This window comes from Homo sapiens, chromosome X (genome assembly GCF_000001405.40).
Source record: "Homo sapiens chromosome X, GRCh38.p14 Primary Assembly".
Taxonomy (NCBI): Eukaryota; Metazoa; Chordata; class Mammalia; order Primates; family Hominidae; genus Homo; species Homo sapiens.
In genome coordinates this window covers 31,665,931-31,689,240 of record NC_000023.11, presented here as the reverse complement: position 1 = coordinate 31,689,240, position 23,310 = coordinate 31,665,931, and the positions used below count along the sequence as shown (strand labels likewise).

At 36.9% G+C, this 23,310-nt stretch overlaps 1 protein-coding gene across 20 annotated transcripts in view; it reads left to right on the top strand.

Moving 5' to 3' along the window:
- DMD (dystrophin) overlaps positions 1–23,310 on the top strand; it is a 2,220,167-nt gene that overhangs the window by 1,650,148 nt on the left and 546,709 nt on the right. For all 20 annotated transcript variants that reach the window (XM_006724469.4, NM_000109.4, XM_011545467.2 and 17 more), the window contains 1 exon segment: positions 9,655–9,866. In XM_006724469.4, the coding sequence (XP_006724532.1) occupies positions 9,655–9,866 (212 nt within the window).

Genomic DNA, 23,310 nt, shown 5'->3' with positions numbered 1-23,310 from the left:
GATTTTGGGCTGAGACGATGGGGTTTTCTAAATATACAATCATGTCGTCTGCAAACAGGGACAATTTGACTTCCTCTTTTCCTAATTGAATACCCTTTATTTCTTTTTCCTGCCTGATCGCCCTGGCCAGAACTTCCAACACTATGTTGAATAGGAGTGGTGAGAGAGGGCATCCCTGTCTTGTGCCAGTTTTCAAAGGGAATGCTTCCAGTTTTGCCCATTCAGTATGATATTGGCTGTGGGTTTGTCATAAATAGCTCTTACTATTTTGAGATACGTCCCATCAATACCTAATTTATCGAGAGTTTTTAGCATGAAGGGCTGTTGAATTTGGTCAAGGGCCTTTTCTGCATCTATTGAGATAACCATGTGGTTTTTGTCGTTGGTTCTGTTTATATGCTGGATTACATTTATTGATTTGCGTATGTTGAACCAGCCTTGCATCCCAGGGATGAAGCCCACTTGATCATGGTGGATAAGCTTTTTGATGTGCTGCTGGATTCGGTTTGCCAGTATTTTATTGAGGATTTTTGCATCGATGTTCATCAGGGATATTTGTCTAAAATTCTCTTTTTTTGTTGTGTCTCTGCCAGGCTTTGGTATCAGGATGATGCTGGCCTCATAAAATGAGTTAGGGAGGATTCCCTCTTTTTCTATTGATTGGAATAGTTTTAGAAGGAATGATACCAGTTCCTCTTTGCACCTCTGGTAGAATTCGGCTGTGAATCCGTCTGGTCCTGGACTTTTTTTGGTTTGTAGGCTATTAATTATTGCCTCAATTTCAGAGCCTGTTATTGGTCTATTCAGGGATTCAACTTCTTCCTGGTTTAGTCTTGGGAAGGTGTATGTGTGCAGGAATTTATCCATTTCTTCTAGATTTTCTAGTTTATTTGCGTAGAGGTGTTTATAGTATTCTCTGATGGTAGTTTGTATTTCTGTGGTGTCGGTGGTGATATCCCCTTTATCATTTTTTATTGCATCTATTTGATTCTTCTCTCTTTTCTTCTTTATTAGTCTTACTAGCGGTCTATCAATTCTGTTGATCTTTTCAAAAAACTGGCTCCTGGATTCATTGATTTTTTTGAAGGGTTTTTTGTGTCTGGATCTTGTAGGTATGCTTCATTGTTTCTTATTATTTTTTTCTTTTGTCTTCTCTGGCTGTGTATTTTCAAATAGGCTGTCTGCCTACAAGATCCAGAAAATAGCCTCAAAAGGGTCAATCTAAGAGTTATTGGCCTTAAACAGGAGGTAGAGAAAGAGATAGGGATAGAAAGTTGATACAAAGGGACAATATCAGAGAACTTCAGAAACAGAGAAAGATACCAACATTCAAGTACGACAAAGTTATAGAACACCAAGCAGAATTATCTCAGAGACTACCTCAAGGCATGCAATAATCAAACTCCCACAGGTCAAGGATAAAGAAAGAATCCTAAAAGCAGCAAGAGAAAGGAAACAAATAACATGCAGTGGAGCTTCAATACATCTGGCAGCAGATTTTTCGGTGGAAATCTTAGGCCCCGGGCATATCCAGAGATGCTGTCTGAGGGCCAGTCATTGGAGTCAAAAACCTTAGCAGTTTACCTCATGTTCTATTCTATTGTGGCTAAGCTAGCACTCACACCACAATATAAAGTGCTCCCTGCTCTTCCTTGCCCTTTTAAAAGGCAGAGGATCCTCTCCCTGTGGCCCTCACCACCATGAGGGTTCTGCTTGGCCTCCACTGGTGTTCACTTAAAGCCCAAGGGCTCTTCCATCAGCTTGTGGTGAATGCTGAGAGAACTGGGACCCATATTTTAGGGCCTTGGGCTCCCCTCTGGCCCAAGGCAGGACCAAAAATGCTGTCCAAGAACCTAGGCCAGGACTCAGAAATCCCAGAAGCCTGCCTGCTTCTCTGCCTTTCTGTGGCTGAGCTGGTACCTAAGGGGCAAGACAAAGTCCCCTTTACTTTTCTGTCTACTTTTCTCAAACAGAAGGGGTCTTTCACCATAACCACCACAGCTGGGAATTTGCTGGGTGACCTATGAAGCCAGCACATCTCAGAGGCCAAGTCCCACAGTGTACTCCCTGGGTATTGCAACTGGTTATTCAACGTTCAAGGCCTCTTTAGTTAGTAGCTGATGAATCCTGATAGGACTGAGTCCTTCCCTTTAAGGTAGCAGATTCCCTTTTGGCCCAGGGTGTGTCTAGAAATGCTATCCAGGAACTAGGGCCTGGAATGGGGGCCTCATGACTCTGCCCATGCCCCATCCTACTGTGGCTGAGCTGGTATCCAAGATGCAAGACAAAGTCTTCTTTACTTTTCGCTCTCTTCTCCTTAACGAGAAGTAAGGAGTCACTTCTGTTGCTGCAAGCTTCACTGCTGGGAGTAGGGGAGGTATGGTGCAACCACTCCCTTAGCCATGCCAGCTGGTGTCTCCCTAGGTCATGTGGGAGACCCTAATCCACTGGCTTCAATATATAGAGGGACGTTTCTAAATTATTTATCTGTAATTTGATTAAGAAGATAGACACAGGCAATAGGATATGCCAACAGATTCTCTCTAACCTATAGTTATTTTAAGAAAGTTAGGGAAAGAGAGGTCATTGATTAGTTTTGGCTTACTGAATTATTTGACCCTCCCATATCTTTTAATTTATGGATTTTATATAAGGCACAGATATTCTACTAGTAAACATGACATTAAAGATGTTTTATACAAATGAATGTGGTTGATACAAAGGCATTAAATAAGAAACAAAGGAAATTCAGAGGACATTTGTTCGCCTGGAATAGAGATCATTAGCATAAGCATAAGAGGAAAATAAGGAAGGAAATGGGAAAGTCTTGAGTCCATTTTCAAATTATGAAAACTTGAAATGCAACAAACAAATAGTGGTTACTTAAGAAGAAAGACTGAAGATGCTGGGCAAAGGTTAACTTTAGAAATGGCATTTTTATATCATTATAAAGAGAAAGTGGGGATAATGGAAATAATCTACATGTACAACTCATTTGACAGACATTTATTGAAGGTATTCCAAATGCCAAACACTAGTTTGTGCACTAAGGATGTTTTTAATTTTTACTTTTTACTTTATTTTTATTTTCTAGCTTCTTCCGCTTTGCCAGAGAAGGATTTTTTTAAATGGATAAAATACTAACTTAGGCTAGCTTCTTTCAGAAACAGACCTTTAAACAATGATTAATGGTGAAAGTGGTTTGGTTGTAATGTGATCCCAGGAAGTACCAGTAGGAGAGTGGGACAATGAGATAATAAATGAAAGAAGCCAATAATTAAGCCAGTTATGGAACTAGTTATTGCTTTGGGCCACTGGGGTTTGATCCTGATGAAGGAGCTCTGGGAGATAGTAAACAAACAAACAAACAAAAAACATGCCTCAAAGTTGTCAACCACAAGGGGGTAAAGGCAAGGAACCAGGGCTAACTATTCCAACTCTTATCCATCATTGGCTAAATGCTTCCTGGTACATAAACTTTCCAGCACTTCTGGCCAGCGCACCTAGCAAGCTGAGGAAAATCTCTCAGGTTTGCAGTAGGGCAAATGCTTGTACTAGGACACTGCTGGCATATACTTGAAGGATGAGTGCCAACGGCAGATAGATGGGCCCTGACAGCATCTTCTACAGATTCTGTCCTTGCCTTTGAGGCAAGGACACTGTCTAGAGTCAGAGACAGAAATGTAAAATGTAAAAATGTAAATCATAGTAGCACACAGTACAAGTTTTAAAATCTTAACAAAGTGTTATGGGAGAACCACGGTGAGAGAAAATGACTGCACATATGAGAGCAGGGGAAGTCTTTATATGTGATGATGACATTTGAGTGGGTGTTCCGTTATCAAAGATCTACTTAAAAGGGAAAAAGAGTAGAATTATTTTAAACCATGGATGTAACCAGGCGTGGCCACCCTATATGTGAATGTCCTGGGATAATTTTGTCCCCAGATGTCTCTCTTTTTGAGTGTCATTTTCATTTATGTATTCATAATATAAAGAAATTGAATAGAAAGAGGTAAACATTGGTGGCAAAAATCCCTTCCTACCCATAAGGCTCACAGAATAATGTTGTCTAAATGCCATAACATTTTTGGTAAGTTTTGGTTCTATGGGCTTTGGAAATTTTTTATGTAGGAACTCCTCCAAGGTGATATAAGCATTCAGTGTATTTATCTAGATACCCTAGTTAAAGCTACTTTAAGCAGGATCAAAGTCCTCTTTTAAACTTTTGTATTTGAAAGCTATTCCCATGTACAATTCCCATGATTCTTGTACAATTCCTAGGAGACCTTTGTTTACATCAAAAGAGTTTGTCTCTCTCTATAAGTTAGAACTTGTACATTGTAGTAATGGAAAATCCATTTCAAAGTAGCTTAGACTTACTCAGACAAAATGTATTGATCAGTGTCATTAAACAGTTGAAAGATAGACGAGGCTTGATTCAGGAATTAAATAGCATGACCAGATTCTAGTTTTCCTTCTCCATTGCATGGCTCTGCTCCCCAGTATTTGTTCCGTTTAATTCCTCTTAATTGTTCTAAGATGGATATCAGGATACTGCAGAACTACGTGCTTTCTCATCCATCTTAAACAAGAAGCAATGGGTTTTCTCTTTTAGAATCACGAACAACAACAACAACAACAAAAATCCTAGAGTTGTTTCATTGGTTCTGATTGACCTTACTTGGAACCATAAGTCCATCTTTGAATTAACCACTAAAGCCAGGGAGATGAGTTAAAACTAAGTACACACCATCCACAGAGCAAAGAGAGGTCTATTGTGGGAAAACTGCACAAATGGAAAAATAACAGGGGAAACACAGGAGAAGGAGGTAGTTAGTTAATGTTCAATACACGCACCTTCTCAGGGACTTTTCTTCCATCTGGCATCATCTTTGTCTTTTGACCATTTTCCCCAATCAATACCTATATTCATACTCAAGTTTTCCATATTTGGGAAAAAACTTCTCTTGACACCAAACTCCCCTCTGACTTCCTTCTTATAATGATCTATGGTTGGATAGTCTACAATTTACTGTCCTTACTTTTTCATAGGTATTTTTTAATCTCCTACAGTAAGATTTCTACCACTGCACTGAAATCATTTTGTGTATGGTCTTCAGGGAATTCCATGTGGCCAAAGCCAATGGATACTTTTGGCATGGGCTTTGGAGGTCTAACTTCTTGAATCCAAGTGTCGGCTCTAACAATCACTATCTATGTGACCTTAGACCAGTTATTTAACGCTGTCTTTATTTCCTCATTTGTTAAATGAGGATAATTGCAGCAATAGAAAAAGAACGTAAACAATTATACTTATAGGATTGTATGATGATTAAGTGATTAATGCAAGGAAAGAACAACACAGAGCTTCAGACAGTGTAGATATTCAAATAAATGTTAGTTATGATTTTTATTATGTCTTGTGACATCTATGAGATTTGAAAGTGTTAATCACTCTTGTGTTTTTGAAAATCTTTCTTTTCCATGTTCTATAAAAGTACACTTTCTTGATATTCCTCCTCCTTCTCTAGTCTTTCATTCATCTTATTTGCTCTTTGTGTTTTATTTATTCTTTTTACGTTGTATTTTCCAGGAGTCCATTCCCAGCCCGGTGTTGGGCTCAGTCTATGTGCCATATAAATGAGAATGCACTTGCATTTGAGGCTTTGCTTTTTATTTCTCTGTAGTGACGGCCAATCCCAGATTTCTGTCTCTCCCAAAATACACAGCTATGCTATAGATCCTTCAGTCCTCCTGACTAAAATGTTAGTTTTATGTGTGTGTTCCTCACAACCTCCCAGTGAATAGGTCCAAAACTGAACTCATTATCTTCTCCATGCTCACTCTGCATTCTTTGGATAGGCAGTGAATAGCACCACTATCTAACAGGCACCTAAACCAGAAGCCAGGTAATCTGTCTTAAACCCTTTTGTTTTCCAAGTTCTTATCATAATGGCTGGTGTCTAACAGATGGTAAATAAAATAGAGACTAGCTGGCTACATGGATGGATGTGTGGGGATGCACAGAGGGATAGATGGATTATTGAGTGAGTCTCTAGCCTATAAATATTTTTAATTAACTAATAAATTATGATAATGTACAGTTGAAGGTCAAGGGTGAAAAAGCATACCCTCAGTGGGATGCACACCCCAAGGAGCCATTTTAACTTGCTACATAACACACATATGACCACTTTTTTGCTGAAAGCCTTCTATTATTGAGCAAGCATTCAAATCCCATGTTTGCCTGAAATAATGGTTCAGGTTATAAAAGTTTCCTTCTTTTTCCAGGATTAAAATTATCTTCCTACATAATAGGAAGAACTGCTTTATCTTTTCCTAATATCTAGAGATGGCCTTTTAAAAATATAGACTGTTTTCCCTATTGAAATGAACTGTAGGATGTACAAAATATTTACTGGCATGAATCAAAAGAGCTTGCTATGTTTATGTGAAAACCACTAGGCATTCTAAAAAATATTGCTAGCATAGTAAAATGTTAGTAATTAAGACTAACGAAAGCGAAGGCAAATTGGAATCAGAGACTATTTTTAAGGAATGTCAACTGTATTATTTTCAAATACACATGGTACATAACAGTAGGATATGAGAAAAAGTCCCAAGTATGTGTACTAAAGTAGCCTGCTATGATAAGTTGAAAAAGGGTTTGTAATTGGAATATCCACAGAATATTTCAGAACACTTAAAGACATTTTCATTTACACTTTATACAGCTTTCTTATAAGAGCATTTACACCATTTATTTTATAAACCAAAGATTAATTAGAAGACTAAACAATTACAAGGCCTCAACTACGAAAGCTGTTCCACTACCTAGTGGAACAACAACAATGAGACACACAAAACAATGGCGTTCAAAGATTAGAGAGAGACTTACGGTTAAACAGAGGTTGACATGTTAACTGAAGTTGCAATATAATATGTCGACTAGTTTTGCAATACATAGCAAACACCCAAACAGAAATAAACCTGATAAAAAAACAGTAGTCTATAATGTGTGCCACTTACTGAGTTTTAATTATTCTGGGGACTATATTTTTGATTTCATGTTACAATCACTAGTTTTGTGGGGTCTTTCTAGTCCTGATGCTTATTTACAAAATATCTGAAGTATTTCTTTCTATGTATTTATTTTTGAGATGGAGTTTTGCTCTGTCACCCAGGCTGGAGTGCAGCGGCATGATCTCGGCTCACTGCAACCTCTGCCTCCCGGGTTCAAGTGATTCTCCTGCCTCAGCCTCCTGAGTAGCTGGGATTACAGGCGTGTGCTAATTTTTGTATTTTTAGTAGAGACTGGGTTTCAGCATGTCGGTCAGGCTGGTCTCGAACTCCTGACCTCATGATCCACCCGCTTTGGCCTCCCAGAGACCTGGGATTACAGGCGTGAGCCACCGCACCTGGCCATCTCAAGTATTTCTTTAACTTATAACTTCACATAACTTTGTGGAGGCAACAGGGTTAATTAAAAAGGACTTTACTTACATAACAAAATAAGAAGCATAGTTTTATATTCCTGTGCCATATACATTTTGTTTGTCCATCTGTAGCCATTCTTTGACCTTCTCTCCCTTGCTCTTTATTCTGGGAGGCTGACCTCTGTCATCATTGGGCTCCCATGCCCTTTGGCTTCCAGTTGGTTTAGGCACCCAAGAGCCCTAGAAGGAAATTGAAGACAGGAGGTAAAGTGAGGTCAAGATATTTATTCTCCTAATTCCCTCCCTTTGAGGTTGCCACAGGCTGACTATGTCCTTTGACAAAAGGTTATTGCTCTTCTCAGGGTGGTTTCTCATTCCAATTCTCTGCTTTTGGCCACTTTTCCCTCCCCTCATCCCTTGGGCCTAGATGTAGTAACAGCTCTACTGTTGCAAGGTTCTTGTATTATCTGTGATGGTTTCTTATACCCTGCTTATCTTGTGATTTGTTGCTTTGTAGATAAACCTCTCAGATTATCTAGGCAAGATCATAGAAGAACACGTATGTCCAGCTAAGATATTCCAGAAGACAGTAGGGAAACATTGAAGGGTTTTATAAGAGGGAGTGCAGTGATCAGATTTATGTTAGTTTTAATCTTTAATTGGGGTAGAATTTACATTCTAAAACAGAGATTTGGGTCTGGGAGGATGATATAGAGCCTCTTATGGATGTGAGGGCAAAAAATGATAGAGGTTTGCAGTGCCAATAGAAAGAGGAAAGAAGTTATATATGAGAGAAATTTGTAACTAATTATATGAGGTGTTGGGTGACGCTTAGGAAAGAATCTAGAATGTCTATCAGGTTTCATGCTTAAGGGATAAAGTAGATGGCAGTTTTATTACTTGTTTTCTGTATTATTTTTATTTCATAAAACCAGCTTAGAGAAGTTGCATAGAAAAAATAATGTAGTCCTGTTTATTTTAATATTTGAAAAGAACATATTTCAGAGTAGAATCTATATAGTACCTCCCTCTTGGACTTCCAATGATACCAGTGATAGCCTCAATATAAGCCAGTCTTACAAAATGCACCCAGCGTGAATTCTTAGGTATTGTTAAAAGAAGTTGGCCAGGCGCGGTGGCTCACGCCTGTAATCCCAGCACTTTGGGAGGCCGAGGCAGGTGGATCACCTGAGGTCAGGAGTTTGAGACCAGCCCGGCCAACATGGTGAAACCCTGTCTCTATTAAAAATACAAAAAAAAAAAATTAGCTGGGCATGATGGCACGTGCCTGTAGTTCCTGCTACTCGGGAGGCTGAGACAGGAGGATAGCTTGAACCCGGGAGGCGGAGGTTGCAGTGAGCGGAGATTGCACCATTGCACTCCAGCCTGGGTTACAAGAGCAAAACTCCATCAAAAAAAAAAAAGAAAGAAAAAGAAGAAGTTTCTAATACACTTATCTTCCCTTGGGTTCACTCAGAAGACCCTTGGAAAAGGTTTTAAGAGCAAGTGATTTATTTGGGGGGTAAATTAATCAGTAGAAGAGTGGAAAAATGAGACAGGTGAGGCAAGGCAGCCAGTAAAGAGTGGTGCATTATCAAGCCAGCTGCTGTTGTGGGTCACTGGAGCTTTATCCCTTGGGAAACTCTGGAACCCTTGTAAAATACATGCCTCAGAGTTATTTCCCCTAGCATCAAGGGAGCTAGTGTAACAATATCCCAATTCCTACAATTAGTCATTATATACAGGCTGCCTCTGGGAGCTGGAGGGGAGGCATCAGTTGCCTGGTATGTCTAGCCTGTCACATGGATGGCAAAGCAAACTCCTGTGGCAACAGAAAGCCTTCAGGCAATGAAATGCTGGCACTGGGAAATCAGGCTGATGGGTGCTGAAGTGGCAAGGATGAGGGGATATGGATATTCTGCTGTAGTGCTTTTCTAACAGATGATTCATATTTGGTTCTAGGGATCAAGAATTGAGTTAAAATTTTATATATATGTTGATGTTCTATGTCACCTTCAGGAAAATAATTTAACAGAAACTAATATTTGCCATCAAAAAAGCAAAGAATCCTGTTGTTCATCATCCTAGCCATAACACAATGAATAATTTTTTAAATAAGCAACATAAATGTGAGATAACGTTTGGAAGTTACATTTAAAATGTCTCCTCCAGACTAGCATTTACTACTATATATTTATTTTTCCTTTTATTCTAGTTGAAAGAATTCAGAATCAGTGGGATGAAGTACAAGAACACCTTCAGAACCGGAGGCAACAGTTGAATGAAATGTTAAAGGATTCAACACAATGGCTGGAAGCTAAGGAAGAAGCTGAGCAGGTCTTAGGACAGGCCAGAGCCAAGCTTGAGTCATGGAAGGAGGGTCCCTATACAGTAGATGCAATCCAAAAGAAAATCACAGAAACCAAGGTTAGTATCAAAGATACCTTTTTAAAATAAAATACTGGTTACATTTGATAAAATTATACCATAGATTGTAATTTAATGATGTTTAATGTAAAGTTATTAACAGAAAATCACGTTAAAGCTGAAATGAACAGTAGACTTTGTATATTTATTTTCTTAGAGACAGAGTCTCACTGTCACCCAGGCTAAAGTGCAGTGGCACAATCATAGCTCACTGAGCCTTGAACTCTGGGGCTCAAGCAGTCCTCCTGCCTCAGCCTCCCTAGTAGCTGGGACTACTAGCCAGGCGTGTACCACCACGCCTGGCTAATTTTTTAAAAATTTTTGTTTTCTGTAGAGATGGGTTCTTGAACTCTTGGCCTCAAGCAATTCTCCTTCCTTGGCCTCCCAAAGCACTAGGATTACAGGCATGAGTTAGCATGCCTAGCCAGTAGACTTTTGAGTCAAGGTAGAGAATAGAGGAAAATTGACAGCTAATGTCAATGTTAAAGTTAATTTTGTTTAGTAATCTGGATATAGTTGGCTGGTTTTCTGTTGCACCATCTTTAAGATCACTTCAAAATTGGTATACGTATTTATGTAGTTGCATGAAGTCAACCATTCGGGCTTAATTCCTTCCTAGAAAAAGTAACAGGTCTACTCTTTCATATCTTATTTGGAGGCCCTGGATCAAGAAATGGGGGTGAGTGGGTATCAGGATTGGGGAGGAATAAGGAGTACTCTCACTTTCTCCCCCCATTCTCTTACCTCCAGCCCAGCTCATTCTTCTCTTCTTTCTCTTTCCTCTGAAATTTCCTCAAATATCTGTCTGCTTAGTAGTCTATAATTCCTCAGGATAAAAGAAAAAGGAAAAGGAAGAAAATTGCTTAATAACTATGTTTTATCAAGCAGCATGCATAGTGCTTTGCATGCGTTTAATCCCTTCAAACTTAGTATTTACTAGTCAGTTTGAAAAGCCCTTAAATGTTAAACAATGGTTAAGCTTTAGGGTATTTTGAGCAGGGAAGTAACATGGTAGGAGGTTGATCAGATTGGGCACTTGATCAAAACCCTCTATAGATATTTTATCTGACAGAAAAGGCCTTTTGCTAAACCAGTATCTGATTCTCAAATTGGTTATGTCATCTAAGAAGGAAACCGTATCATTTTCTTGGATGAAATGGCTTCCATTTCCAAATTAGTCAGGTTAGGCTATGCTAAGCTATAGTAAGAAATGAACTCTGAAATCTCAATAGCTTAACACAATAAAGACTGCTTTCTTGGTTATATCATAGTCCAGTAGAGGTTGACAAGCCATTCTTAGGAGCTGTCCCCCAACATGGTCACTTGGAAACCCAGACTTTTCCAATTTTGTGACACTTGTCATTTTCAACACACTGCCAAAAGCCACTGCAGAAAAGGAAGACAGAATGTGGTCAGTCAATCCATGGTGTTTTATGGCCAGGCCTGGAAATTATGTATATCACTTCCACCACATCCCATCACACAGAACTTGTTCTCGATTGAATTTCAGGAAGAGTTAATGGAATTAGTGAGCTTTTAGCCAATCTCTGTCATAGCCATTTTATCGAAGGGACCTGAGCTGCTATGAGGACAAGGTTTTAGTTTATATGATGAGGATGTTAGAAAGCCACATAGAATTTTACAGTCTTATCATTAGCTCTGTTGGAGTCAAAATCTAGGTGAATAAAAATTCTTTCAAGAGACACATGTTACCACTAATGGTTTTTTCAATGGATGAGCATAGATGAATTAGGAATCTCCAATGGTCATTTTCCTAATTCCTGGTCTGACTATGTAATATATAGAATCATGTGGTTATTCTTGAAAGCTCTAGTCATATTCGTGAGGTAGTCAGCATGTTATGCTACTTCTTTTTCTTCTCTATAAGTTTCGGATACTATGAATCTATTGGATCACAAACCAAAGTAGTTAACTGGTAAGAAGGTATAAGCAGAAAATACGAAGTTTGGACTGGATCCTTGAGTTAGATGAGAAGAAGGAGAGATGAGAGGCATACAGTGATAGATTTGACTAGGGCAAGAGGACTCTGGTAGTTAGCAAATGAGAAATAAATTTAACCTAAGAAAATCCTAAAGTGATGGTAAGAATGGTTAGGGTTTAATTGCTCTTAGAAGAGCAAGTAGCTTTAAATAAGAGACAAAAATATCTGCAGAAGGAAATATGAAAGTAGAAAACAAAACAATTGCATTGTCAAAACATGTAAGATGTTTTAATCACCTAAAATAAAACCAGAATTGTATTATAATTGCTATCCTTTGTCAAACTTTTGAAATTAAAAAAAAAAAACGCTTTGGAATGGTCTAAAACTACATCATAAAAATGGCTCAGCCACTATCTATAGAGATTGACATTTTTTGTTTGTGCTCTGTGTTTAGGAATTTAATGATGTGTATTGCTGCAGATTCAATGTAAGTTCCCGATACAGATAAAGATGGCCAAAGCTGTAATTTTTTCATCCATTTCTTGAATGATGTATGCTAAAATTAAAGTAATCCTAATGTTAATAATAACTTTTAGTGAATGCTTGCTGTGTGTCAAAAAGTATGCTAGTCACTTTATATATATTGGTTTATTTCATCCTTTCAAAAACACTCTTTGAAAAGTACTCTTATTATTCTTAGTTTGCAGAGAAGAAAACTGAAGGCTAGAGAAGTTCAGAATCTTCTTTTGAAAGTAGTAGAGTTGTGATGCGAATGCATAGCAATTACTCTTGTAGATGACCTCACAGGCTTCCTCTTCCAATTGTCTACGTGGCTAAAACAAAGCAAGAAAACCCCATAAGAATCTGAAAAAGACTCATGTAATTATTAATTGACAAATAAGATTATATTACATTACTGATAAACCAACAGGTAGAAAATGAAAGCAATGAAATAGTATACTGCGAAAAAAAATTTCATATTATATTCTTTGATGAAAAAATAAAACAATAATTGCAAACTGCATTTCATTTTTAATGAAACGACAATGTTTAATTCTTCTAAAAGGTAGGGAGCAAATAAAATGGTTATCTGGTCTTTACATCGAATGTGTCATCACTACTAAGTGATATTAGCTGGCTTATTACTTAAAATTTTCTTTTAGGAAAAAAGTGTGAAAATAGACAGGAGGAGACATTAAATGGCTAAAGCAACACCCCCTTGCTCCGTAAGTTCTTTCTGAGTCTGTGTGCCTAAGATTAACAAGAGAGCCTGTGAGCCTCACAAGGCAATCACAAAGCTATGTCTACAGCCTTGGAGAGCTGTGATTACAGCAGCCAGCCTCCTTTGCAGCACCTCAGTGATGACTACACTAACTCTCACTACTGAGCAACAATGAAATGTTTCAAACCCAACCACCAACACTGTTATAACTCTTAAAATTTGAGCCAGTCACCATACCTGAACGTAAAAAGAAAATTACCAAAAATGCTTGATACCAAAAAGCAATTAATGATTCATAATTGCTAATCTTTATTGACAGTCTCTTCTAGTTCTTATCTACATATATTTTAATTGTCTACATAATGTAAATTAAATTTTAAATTCTGATTTGTAAACTTAATATTGCATAAATATTTATCAATGTTGTTAAACATCTTTTAATAATTATTTTAACTTCTTTATATTATTTCATTAATTTCCATCTTTATGTCCTTGCTGGTCTGACATTTAGAAAAAACTCCTCCTTTTATTTAGAAAAAAAGAATGGTGAGGCCGGGCGCGGTGGCTCATACCTGTAATCCCAGCACTTTGGGAGGCCGAGGCAGGCAGATCACGAGATCAGGAGTTTGAGACCGGCCTGACCAACATGGTGAAACCCTGTCTCTACTAAAAATACAAAAACTAGCCTGGCGTGGTGCTGCATGCCTGTAGTCCCAGCTACTTGGGAGGCTGAGGCAGGGGAATCGCTTGAACCCGGGAGGCGGAGGTTGCAGTGAGCCAAGATCACGCCACTGCACTCCAGCCTGGGTGACAGAGCAAGACTCTGTCTCAAAAATACATAAATAAGGAGAATAAATGGGGACAATAACAACCTATTCACAGAACAGAAATAAAACCGGAGATGTCATGTGGAAAAAGCTTATCTTGAAAGCGTGGTCAGAGTGGAAAGAAACAGCAACAGGAGAGTCTTGATTTGGTGAAAAAACAGAATGCAGATGGCATAGAGTATCAACAATTAATTAGCAGGCCATCAAGAGACGGCCATAACATATTGGTAATTGTTTTCTTTCACCCTTAATTTTTTCTAAAACAAAAACATGAAGTTAGAAAGTAGTTAATTTTGTTAGCCACATGGCTTCATGGTTTAATTTTATCTTCTCTATGGGCCTGGTACAACAATAAAGTTCTTTTGAGATAGAAAGACAGATGTTAGGCAAAAACATACAAGATTTTCATTCTAATCAAAATCTTTGCCAATAGGCTATGACAGAATCCTATGAGAGATGATGCCATTTAGAACTTTCACAAGAGGCAAAAATAGTATGCCATTGGCACCTAAAACTGCCAACAGTGATCATCATAGGATTTATTTCATTTGGCGGATTCTTGGTTGAGTTCATAACCTGTTCCCTAGGCTTTTAAGATTGGTCCAAACTTGGCAATGGATTCTTTGGAAAAATTATTTCTTGATCGTTTTAAACTTTCTTTTCCAGTGTCAAGAGAGATTTTCCCAGGCTCCGAGTTTTCATTTATTTTTTCCCCTGTCAGTTTTTGAAAGAGAAATCCCCTTTTTGTCGGCTTTGTGATTGCTTTTGTGTCAAATTCAGCGTAAAAGCTTTTCAAACGTGACAGCATTAGCTGTTTTGTGCTTGGCTGAGCTAAGAGTACATGAATTCAATAGAGAAGTGAAATCTTGTTTGAGCCTGGCTGATTTGGCTATATAATATTGAAAACTATCTGAAGCAAGAAATTCAATACTTTTCAAATTATTGAATAAACATTTCTAAGGCTGCAAAATCTCTGTGTTTTTGAAGGCATTCTTTAGGAAACTTGAAACACAGACATTCTATAATCACATAATTAATTTTAAAAGTTGAACTTATTGTATGTAGTAACTAAGGCAGCTATTTGAGTGTCTCAAATTATTTTACTAAAAAGGGAGACATTTTTCAAATATGGAAGTAGTGCCTTACATTTTTAGTTATCTGTGGAAGGATCGATGGCATCATATATCTCATCCACCATAAAAATATGTACGGTAGTGGAAACTGAATTTTTCTTTTATATATTTTGTGTATTTTTTGGAGTTGTACAAAATTAAATCAGCAAATTGACCCACACTAGTAGTTTGAGGTTTGGGTTTCTGGTACAATAATGAAAAGCATTATTAGAAATCTTCTTGCCAGGACCTACCATTTCTTCATGTATTTTCTTTATTCCCTTTTGTTCTCCCCTAAAGCTTCTATGTGATTAAAGAGAAAAGATCAATAACCCAATAGTACTTTTCCTTCTAAAGTATGCATGAAACTCTTAAAGTTCTCAAAGCATACAAACAGAGTGCTCTCTACATTGCTGATAGAACACAGGTAGTAATGGGCTAGTTTCCCCAGGTAACTATTATATTATATAAATATTTAATGCAGAGTCACCAAGCCTTGAATAACTTTATGCTTTGATTGTACCATATTTTCTCTAGTTTGCTTTTCACAATTTAACTTATCCCGTGCTTGAAAATATAATGTGGTAACTGTGTAAATCTGCTCCTCAAAAAATTTTCGAAATCATCTTTTCTTTTTTCTTTTCTTTCTTTTTTTCCTTTTTTTGAGATGGAGTCTCACTCTGTCACCCAGGCTGGAGTGCAGTGGCATGATCTTGGCTTAGTGCAACCTCCACCTCCTGTGATCAAGTGAGTCTCTCAGCATCCCAAGTAGATGGAACTACAGGCACATTCCACCACGCCCAACTATTTCTCGTGTTTTTAGTAGAGACAGGGTTTCACTATGTTGGCCAGGCTGGTCTCAAACTCCTGACCTCGAGTGTTCCGCCCACTTCAGCCTCCCAAAGTGCTGGGATACAGGCGTGAGCCAACATGCCTGGCCCCACATCGCCTTTTCTGAACCCTGGGAATTAACCAAAGGCTGGCAACAATTTTTGAAATGCTGACTCTCAATAAAAATGGCAAAGTTTGAGGTTTTTTAAGTTGGCCTTTCCCGTCACTTTCTCCCAGCTCCACAGTAGCCTTGAAAATCAGTAGCCTTGCAACCATAATAGCTGTGAAAACTAGCAGCCTTTTAGCCACCAGAGAGTGTAGACCAGGATTGGAATTCTTCAAAAAGGCCAATTTTATTCCAAGAACCTTGCCACTGTTTGACCTATCTTGCAGCTCCCTGGAATAAACCTATATACATGGCCTTGCCTTTATTTGGCCCGACTTAGAGATAACTTTCTAGGAAAAGCCCTAGCTCCAGGGTGTTGGTCCAAACCAATTAGCAGCAATTCTTTAACATAACAGGTTCCTAAGGCTGTGATGCTAGTTGAGATAAACATAGGTCTGGAGAAAAACTTCCAGTGAAGCTCTGGAGAATGAGGTGTCCATAGGGGATTTTGGCAACCTCTGACATGTTCTTGCGGGATCTAGAAGCCCATGTGCTTGTCTTAACAAATAGAGAGTATCAATAAAGAGATAGAAATTGTAAATAAGAACTCAGTGGAATATCTGGAGTTGGAAAGCACAATAACTAAAATTAAATTTTCACTTGACGTCAGATTCAAGCTGCAAAAGAAAGAATCAGCAAACTTGAAAATAGGTAAATGGGATAATCCAATCCAAAGAAAAGAAAGAAAAAATATTAAGGAAATACAGAAAGCAAAAACTGACTGAACTGAAAGAAGAATTAGGTAATTCAACAAAAATAGTTGGAGACTTCAACATCTCACTTTTAATAACAGGTAAAAGAACTAGGCAAATTAACAAGGAAATAGACACTTGAAAAAGACTATAAAGACTATAAACTTACAAGACCTAACAGATATCTATACAGCGTTTCATCCAATAATAGCAGAATACTCATTCTTTTCAACTGTACACGAAATATTCTCTAGGGTAGGCCATATGCTAGGTCATAAAATAAGTCTCACTACATTCAAAGGGATTAAAATCATACAATGCAGATTTTATGACCATAATGGAGTACAATTAAAAATCAGTAACAGATGTAAATTTGGGAGTTCATAAATATGAGAAAATTATACAACACACTCTTAAATAGCCAATGGGACAAAGAAGAAATAAGAAAATACAAAAATATCTTGAGATAAATGGAAATAAAAATACAATATACCAAAACTTATGGGAGGAGGCTGAAGCAGTGCTTAGAGTAAAATGTATAACTATAAATACCTATATTTAAAAAGGAAAAAGATCTGAAATCAGTAGCCTAAGCTTCTACCTTAAGAAACTAGAAAAAGAAGAGAAAAGTAAATCTACAGTAAGCAGCAGGAAGTAATAACAATTAGTGTGAAAAAAATCAGATAGAGGAAGAAAATATAATAGAAAAAATCAACAAAACCAAAATCTAGAAATTTAGTTATTTGAAAAGGTCAACAAAATTGACAAAGTTTTAGCTGATTGGTTAGGAAAGAAATGGTCAAATTACTAATATTAGAGAAAAAGAGGGTGCATTACTACCAACATTACAGAAATAAAAAGAAGTAAAAGAGGATATTATGAACAACTAAACAAATAGATAACCTGGATAGACCTATAACAAGAAATTGAATTGGTATTAAAAACTTCTCCCAATGAAAGGCTCAGGCCCAGAAGTCTTCCCCCGATGAATTCTACCAAACATATAAACAACTCTTCCAAAAAATAGAAGAGAAAGGAACACTTCCTAACCAGACAAAGATATCACAAGAAAACAAGCTACAGAGCAATATGCCTTATGAATATAGACTTGAAACGCCTCAAAAAATTATCAAACCTAATACAACAACATATTAACATGATTGCTACCATAACCAGGTAAGATTTATCACAGGAATGTAAGGTTGGTTTAACATCCAAAATTTAATCAATGTATTATACCATATCAATAGAATAAAGGACAAAAATCGTATGGTCATCACAATAAATATAGAAAATTCATGTGACAAAGTACAAAACCCTTTCAAGCTTGAAAAATAAAGAACACTTAACAAATGAAGAATAGAAGGTATTGGCCAGGTGTGGTGGCTCACGCCTGTAATCCCAGCACTTTGGGAGGCCGAGGCAGTTGGATCACGAGGTCAGGAGATTGAGACCATCCTGGCTAACACGGTAAAACCCCGTCTCTGCTAAAAATACAAAAAATTAGCTGGGCACGGTGGCGGGCGCCTGTAGTCCCAGCTACTCAGGAGGCTGAGGCAGGAGAATGGCGCGAACCCTGGAGGCAGAGTTTGCAGTGAGCCGAGACAGCAGCACTGCAGTCCGGCCTGGGCGAAAGAGCGAGACTCCGTCTAAAAAAAAAAAAAAAAAGAAGGTTTTGTGGATTGAATAGTGTCCCCCGCTCCCAAAAGACATACTAAAAGCCTGAGCCCAGGTATCTGCAAATGTGACCTTATGTAGAAATAGAGTCTTTGCAGATGCAGTCAAGTTAAGATGGTATTTTTATAAGAAGAGGAAAAGAGGCATACACAGAGAGAAGAATGCCACATAAAGGCACTGACCACGGGAAAAACACCATGTGATGTTACAGTTAGAGATTAAAGTGCTACAGTTGCAAGACAAGTAAAACTAATGATTAACGGCCATCATTAGAAGCAAGGAAGAGGCAAGGAAAAATTCTCCCCTACAGGTTTCAGCAGGAGTATGGGCCTGCTGGAATCTTGATTTTGGATCTAGCCTCCAGAAGTCTGAGACAATGAGTTTTGTCTACCCAGCTACGCAAATTGTGACACTTAATTACAGAAGCCCGAGGAAACGAATACAGAAGAGGATTTCCTCAACCTGATAAAAGGCAGCTACAAAAATTCCACAGCTAATGTTATTGTGAAACACTGAATGCTTTCCCCTAAGATCAGGAAATAGTGAAGGATGCCTGGTCTCACCACTTCTATTCAGTATTGTACTGGAAGTTCAGGCCAGGGAAATTAGGCAAGAAAAATAAATAAAAGACATCCAGATTAGAAAGGAATAAGTAAAATTATCTCTACTTGCAGACAACATGACCTTGTAATTAGAAAATTTTGAAGAATCTATGAAAAAATATTAGAAATAATAAAATAATTCAGCAAATTTGTAGGATACAAGATCAATATACAAAATGAATTATTTTATACATTAAAAATGAATAATCTAAAAGTGAAATTAAGAAAATATTTACAATGGCATCAAAAAATGTTAAAAACTTAGGAATAAAAGAGATGCAAGGCTTGTATACTGAAGAATACAAAGCAGTGTTGAAAGAAATTAAAGATAAAAAAATAGAAAAATATCACATGTTCTCAGATCAAAAGACTTAATATTATTAAGATATCAATATCCCCCCAATTGATCTACAGACTCTATGGAATCATTATCAAAATCACAACTGGCTTTTTTTTTTTTTTCAGAAATTGACAAGTGGATCCTACCATTTCTATTGAAATGCAAGGGATGTAGAATAGTCAAAACAACCTTGAAAAAAGAACAACATTGGAGGAGTTAACTTTCCAATTTCAAAAACTACTACAAAGCTACAATTATTAAGTCAATGTGGTACTAGAATGTGAATAGACATATAGATCAATGAAATAGAATTGAAAGTTCAAAAGTAAACCTTTGCATTTATGGTCAACTGATTTTTGACAAGGGTACCAAGAGAATTCAATGGAAAAAGAATAGTCTTTCACAACCTGGTGCTAGAATAACTGGATATACACATGAAAAATAATGAAATTTGGCCCCACCTCACACCATACACAAAAATTAGCTTAAATGTATCATAAAAGAAAACAAATAATCTGATTAAAATGGGCAAAACACTTAAACATTTCTCAAAAGAAGATGTACAAATAGCTAACGGGTTTGTGAAAAATGCTCAACATCACTAATCATTGGGGAAATGCATATTACAATCGCAGTGAGATGTCACCTTACACCTGTTAGAATGGCTGTTATAAAAAGAGAAGAATGATAACAAGTGTTGATCAAGGATATGGAAAAAAGGTAACACTTGTATATCATTGGTGGGAATGTATATTAGTACAACCATTATGGAGAACAGTATGGTAGCTCCTCAAAAAACTGAAAACAGAATTACCATAGGATCCAGCAATCCCACTTCCGGGTATATATCCAAAAGAATTTAAACCAGTATGTCAAAGAGATATCTTCACTCCTGTGTTTATTGCAGCATTAGTCACAAAAGCCATGATATGGAATCAACCTAAGTTTCCATCAGTGGATGAATGGATAAAGAAAATGTGGTACATATACACAATGGAGTATTATTCAGCCTTAAATAAAGAATATCCTTTTGTTTATGACAGCGTGGATGAACCTGGAGGACATTATACTAAATGAAATAAGCCAGGCACAGAAAGTCAAATACTGCGTGATCTCACTTATGTGTGGAATCTAAAAAAGTCAAACTCATTGAAGTAGAGAGTAGAATGGTGGTTACCAGAGGCTGTGGATTTAGGGGTGGAAAATGGGGAGATGTTGATCAAAAGGGGTTAAAAACTTTAGTCAGGAGGAATAAGTTTTTGAGACTTTATGACACAACCTGGTGACCATAGTTAATAATATTATATTGTATATTTCAAAATTGCTAAAATAACAGATTTTAAATGTTCTTGCTATAAAATATGATAAATATATGCAGTGATAGATACGTTAAATTGCTCGATATAATCATTCCACAGTGTATACATATATCAGAACATACATGTACCCCATAAATGTATATAATTATTTGTCAAAGCAAAATAAAATTAAAAATAAAATGTTTTAAAACTTTTGTAAAATAAACTTTATAATAATAATATATTTTTAATGAATCATAGAGCTAAATATATTAATAAGAACTAAAACTTTAAAACTCTTCTAAGAAAATGTAGGAATACAATGGATTATGCAGTGTTTTCTTAGATATGACACCAAAAGCAAAAGTAACCGAAAAATACACAATTTGGACTTTAACAAAATTAAAACTTTTGTACTGCAAGCAATATTGTAAAGAAAGGGAAAAGACAATCCTCAGAATGGGTAAAAATATTTGTAAATCATATATTTGATAAGATACTTGTATCAAGAATATATAAAAACTCATAATTCAACAACAAAAAGGATAAATGACTTAATTACAAGTGAAGAAACAGTTTGAATAGGCATTTCTCCAAAGTAGATGTATAGATCTCCATAAGCACATGAAAAGATGGTTAACATCATTGATTGTTTAAAAAATGCAAATGAAAACCACAAGGAGATAGTACTTTTTACCCACTAGGATGGCTAATACAAAAAATACAGACAATAACAAGTGTTGAGAAGATGAAGAATGCTTGGAATTTTCACATTACTGGTGGAAATGTAAAATGGTGAAACAACTTTGAAAACAGTTTGGAAGTTCCTGGAAATATTTTTTTAATTTTTAATTTTTGTGGGTACACAGTAGGTATATATATTTATGGGATACAGGAAATATTTTGATATAGGCATACAATGTGTAACAGTCACATTGGGGTACCTGGCCTATCCCTCACCTCAAGCAATTATCTTTTCTGTTACAAACGACAATCTAATAATAATCAGTTATTTTTAAATTCACAATAAATTTTTTGACTGTAGTCATCCTCTTGTGCTATCAAATACTAGATCTTATTCATTCTATCAAACTATATTTTTGTATTATAAATTTCACTACCCATTAGCCATCCCCCCCTTTCCCCCTACCACTACCCTTCCCAGTCTCCTGGAAATATTAAACATGAAGCTACCATATGACAAAACCATTCTACTCCCAGGTGTATGCTGAACAGAAATAAAAATACATATGTACACAGAAAACCTTTATACAGATGTTCATAGCAGCATTATTTATAATAGCCAAAAAGTAGAACCAACCCAAATGTCCATCAGCTAATGAATAAATTTTAAAATGTCCTCTACATCCAAAAATGGAATATTATTTAGCAATAAAAAGAAATGAAATACTGATATGCACTGTAACATGAGTGAACCTCAAAAATATGCTAAGTGATGGAATCCAGTCACAAAAGACCCCAAATTGTATCAATACATTCATATAAAACATCCAGTAAAGACTGAAGGAGGAGGAGAATAGACAATAGAAAGGGACTGTTAATTGGTATGGGTTTCATTGGGGGCAAATAAAATGTTCTCAAATTAGATCATAATAATGGTTGCACAACCCTGAATACATTAAGAACCAGAAAATTATGCACTTTAAGTGGGAGAATTTTATGGTATGTTAAAAAGTATATCTGCATGTCATTGACTACAGATCTTTTCTTATTTTTTCAAGTTTTATGAACACAGTTTTAGAAACATAGTCTCCATTTTTCTCTTTCATGAAGCTGCTTGCCAGCTATAGAAATGAAAAAATAGCCATGTCTGTGGAACATAACTGCTACCTAGATGGGAGCCTCCATCACACAATGGATAGGGAGCTATTTTCTTTTATGGTCAAGATAGGCAGGTTCTGTCCTATAGAATATATTCTGAGATGTTACCTGTAGTTCAGAAAAACAGGGATATTGTTGTTCTAAACATTTCCTCAACATTTATGTGGCTTCCTATTTATTAATAAGAGAACCTGTTCTTTATGTGTCATTATACTAGTTTATTCTAGCCCTGGTCCTGGTCCAGGACTGTCTGGAGGTATTAGAATTGCCCTACTCTATGTGAAATAAGGTCATATCTGAATAGGTATGTCAGTCAGCATAGGCTAAGCTACAGTAATAAGCAACCTCAAATCTAGAGGCTTAATAGTCTATATTTTACTCATGTTACATGTTCGTTGTAGACTGATGAGAGCATTCTACTTAGCTTAGTCACTCGGGGACCATGGCTGATGGTATCTCCATCTTGGTACATTCTTTCATGATCATAGAGGCAAGGAACATGGTTCTTGAGCCTTCTGCCTGGAAGTGACCAGTAGACAAAACCAGTCACATGGCCATTCCTGAGTTCAATGGGAATGCCGATGTATAATCTTCTGGCGTGAAAAGGCACTGGATATTTGAGAACAATAATGCAGTCTACCACAATATGCTCATGGGGTCTGAAAAGGAGCTGAAAAAACGCCATTTTCTGGGGTTCTGTCCTCTGGCATTGTTTCTGGAATCGTTTCCACCCATCCATTTCTACACCCTCTCAACTGACTTTTCTCAGATGCCTGGGGTAGCTGGGTGATTTGTTAATTACAGTATTGCTTAAGCCTTTTAATAAAGTCAGCAAATTAAAGAGAGAGCCCAGATAAAGAGAATGCTTTCAAAAATGTCATAATGAAATTAAG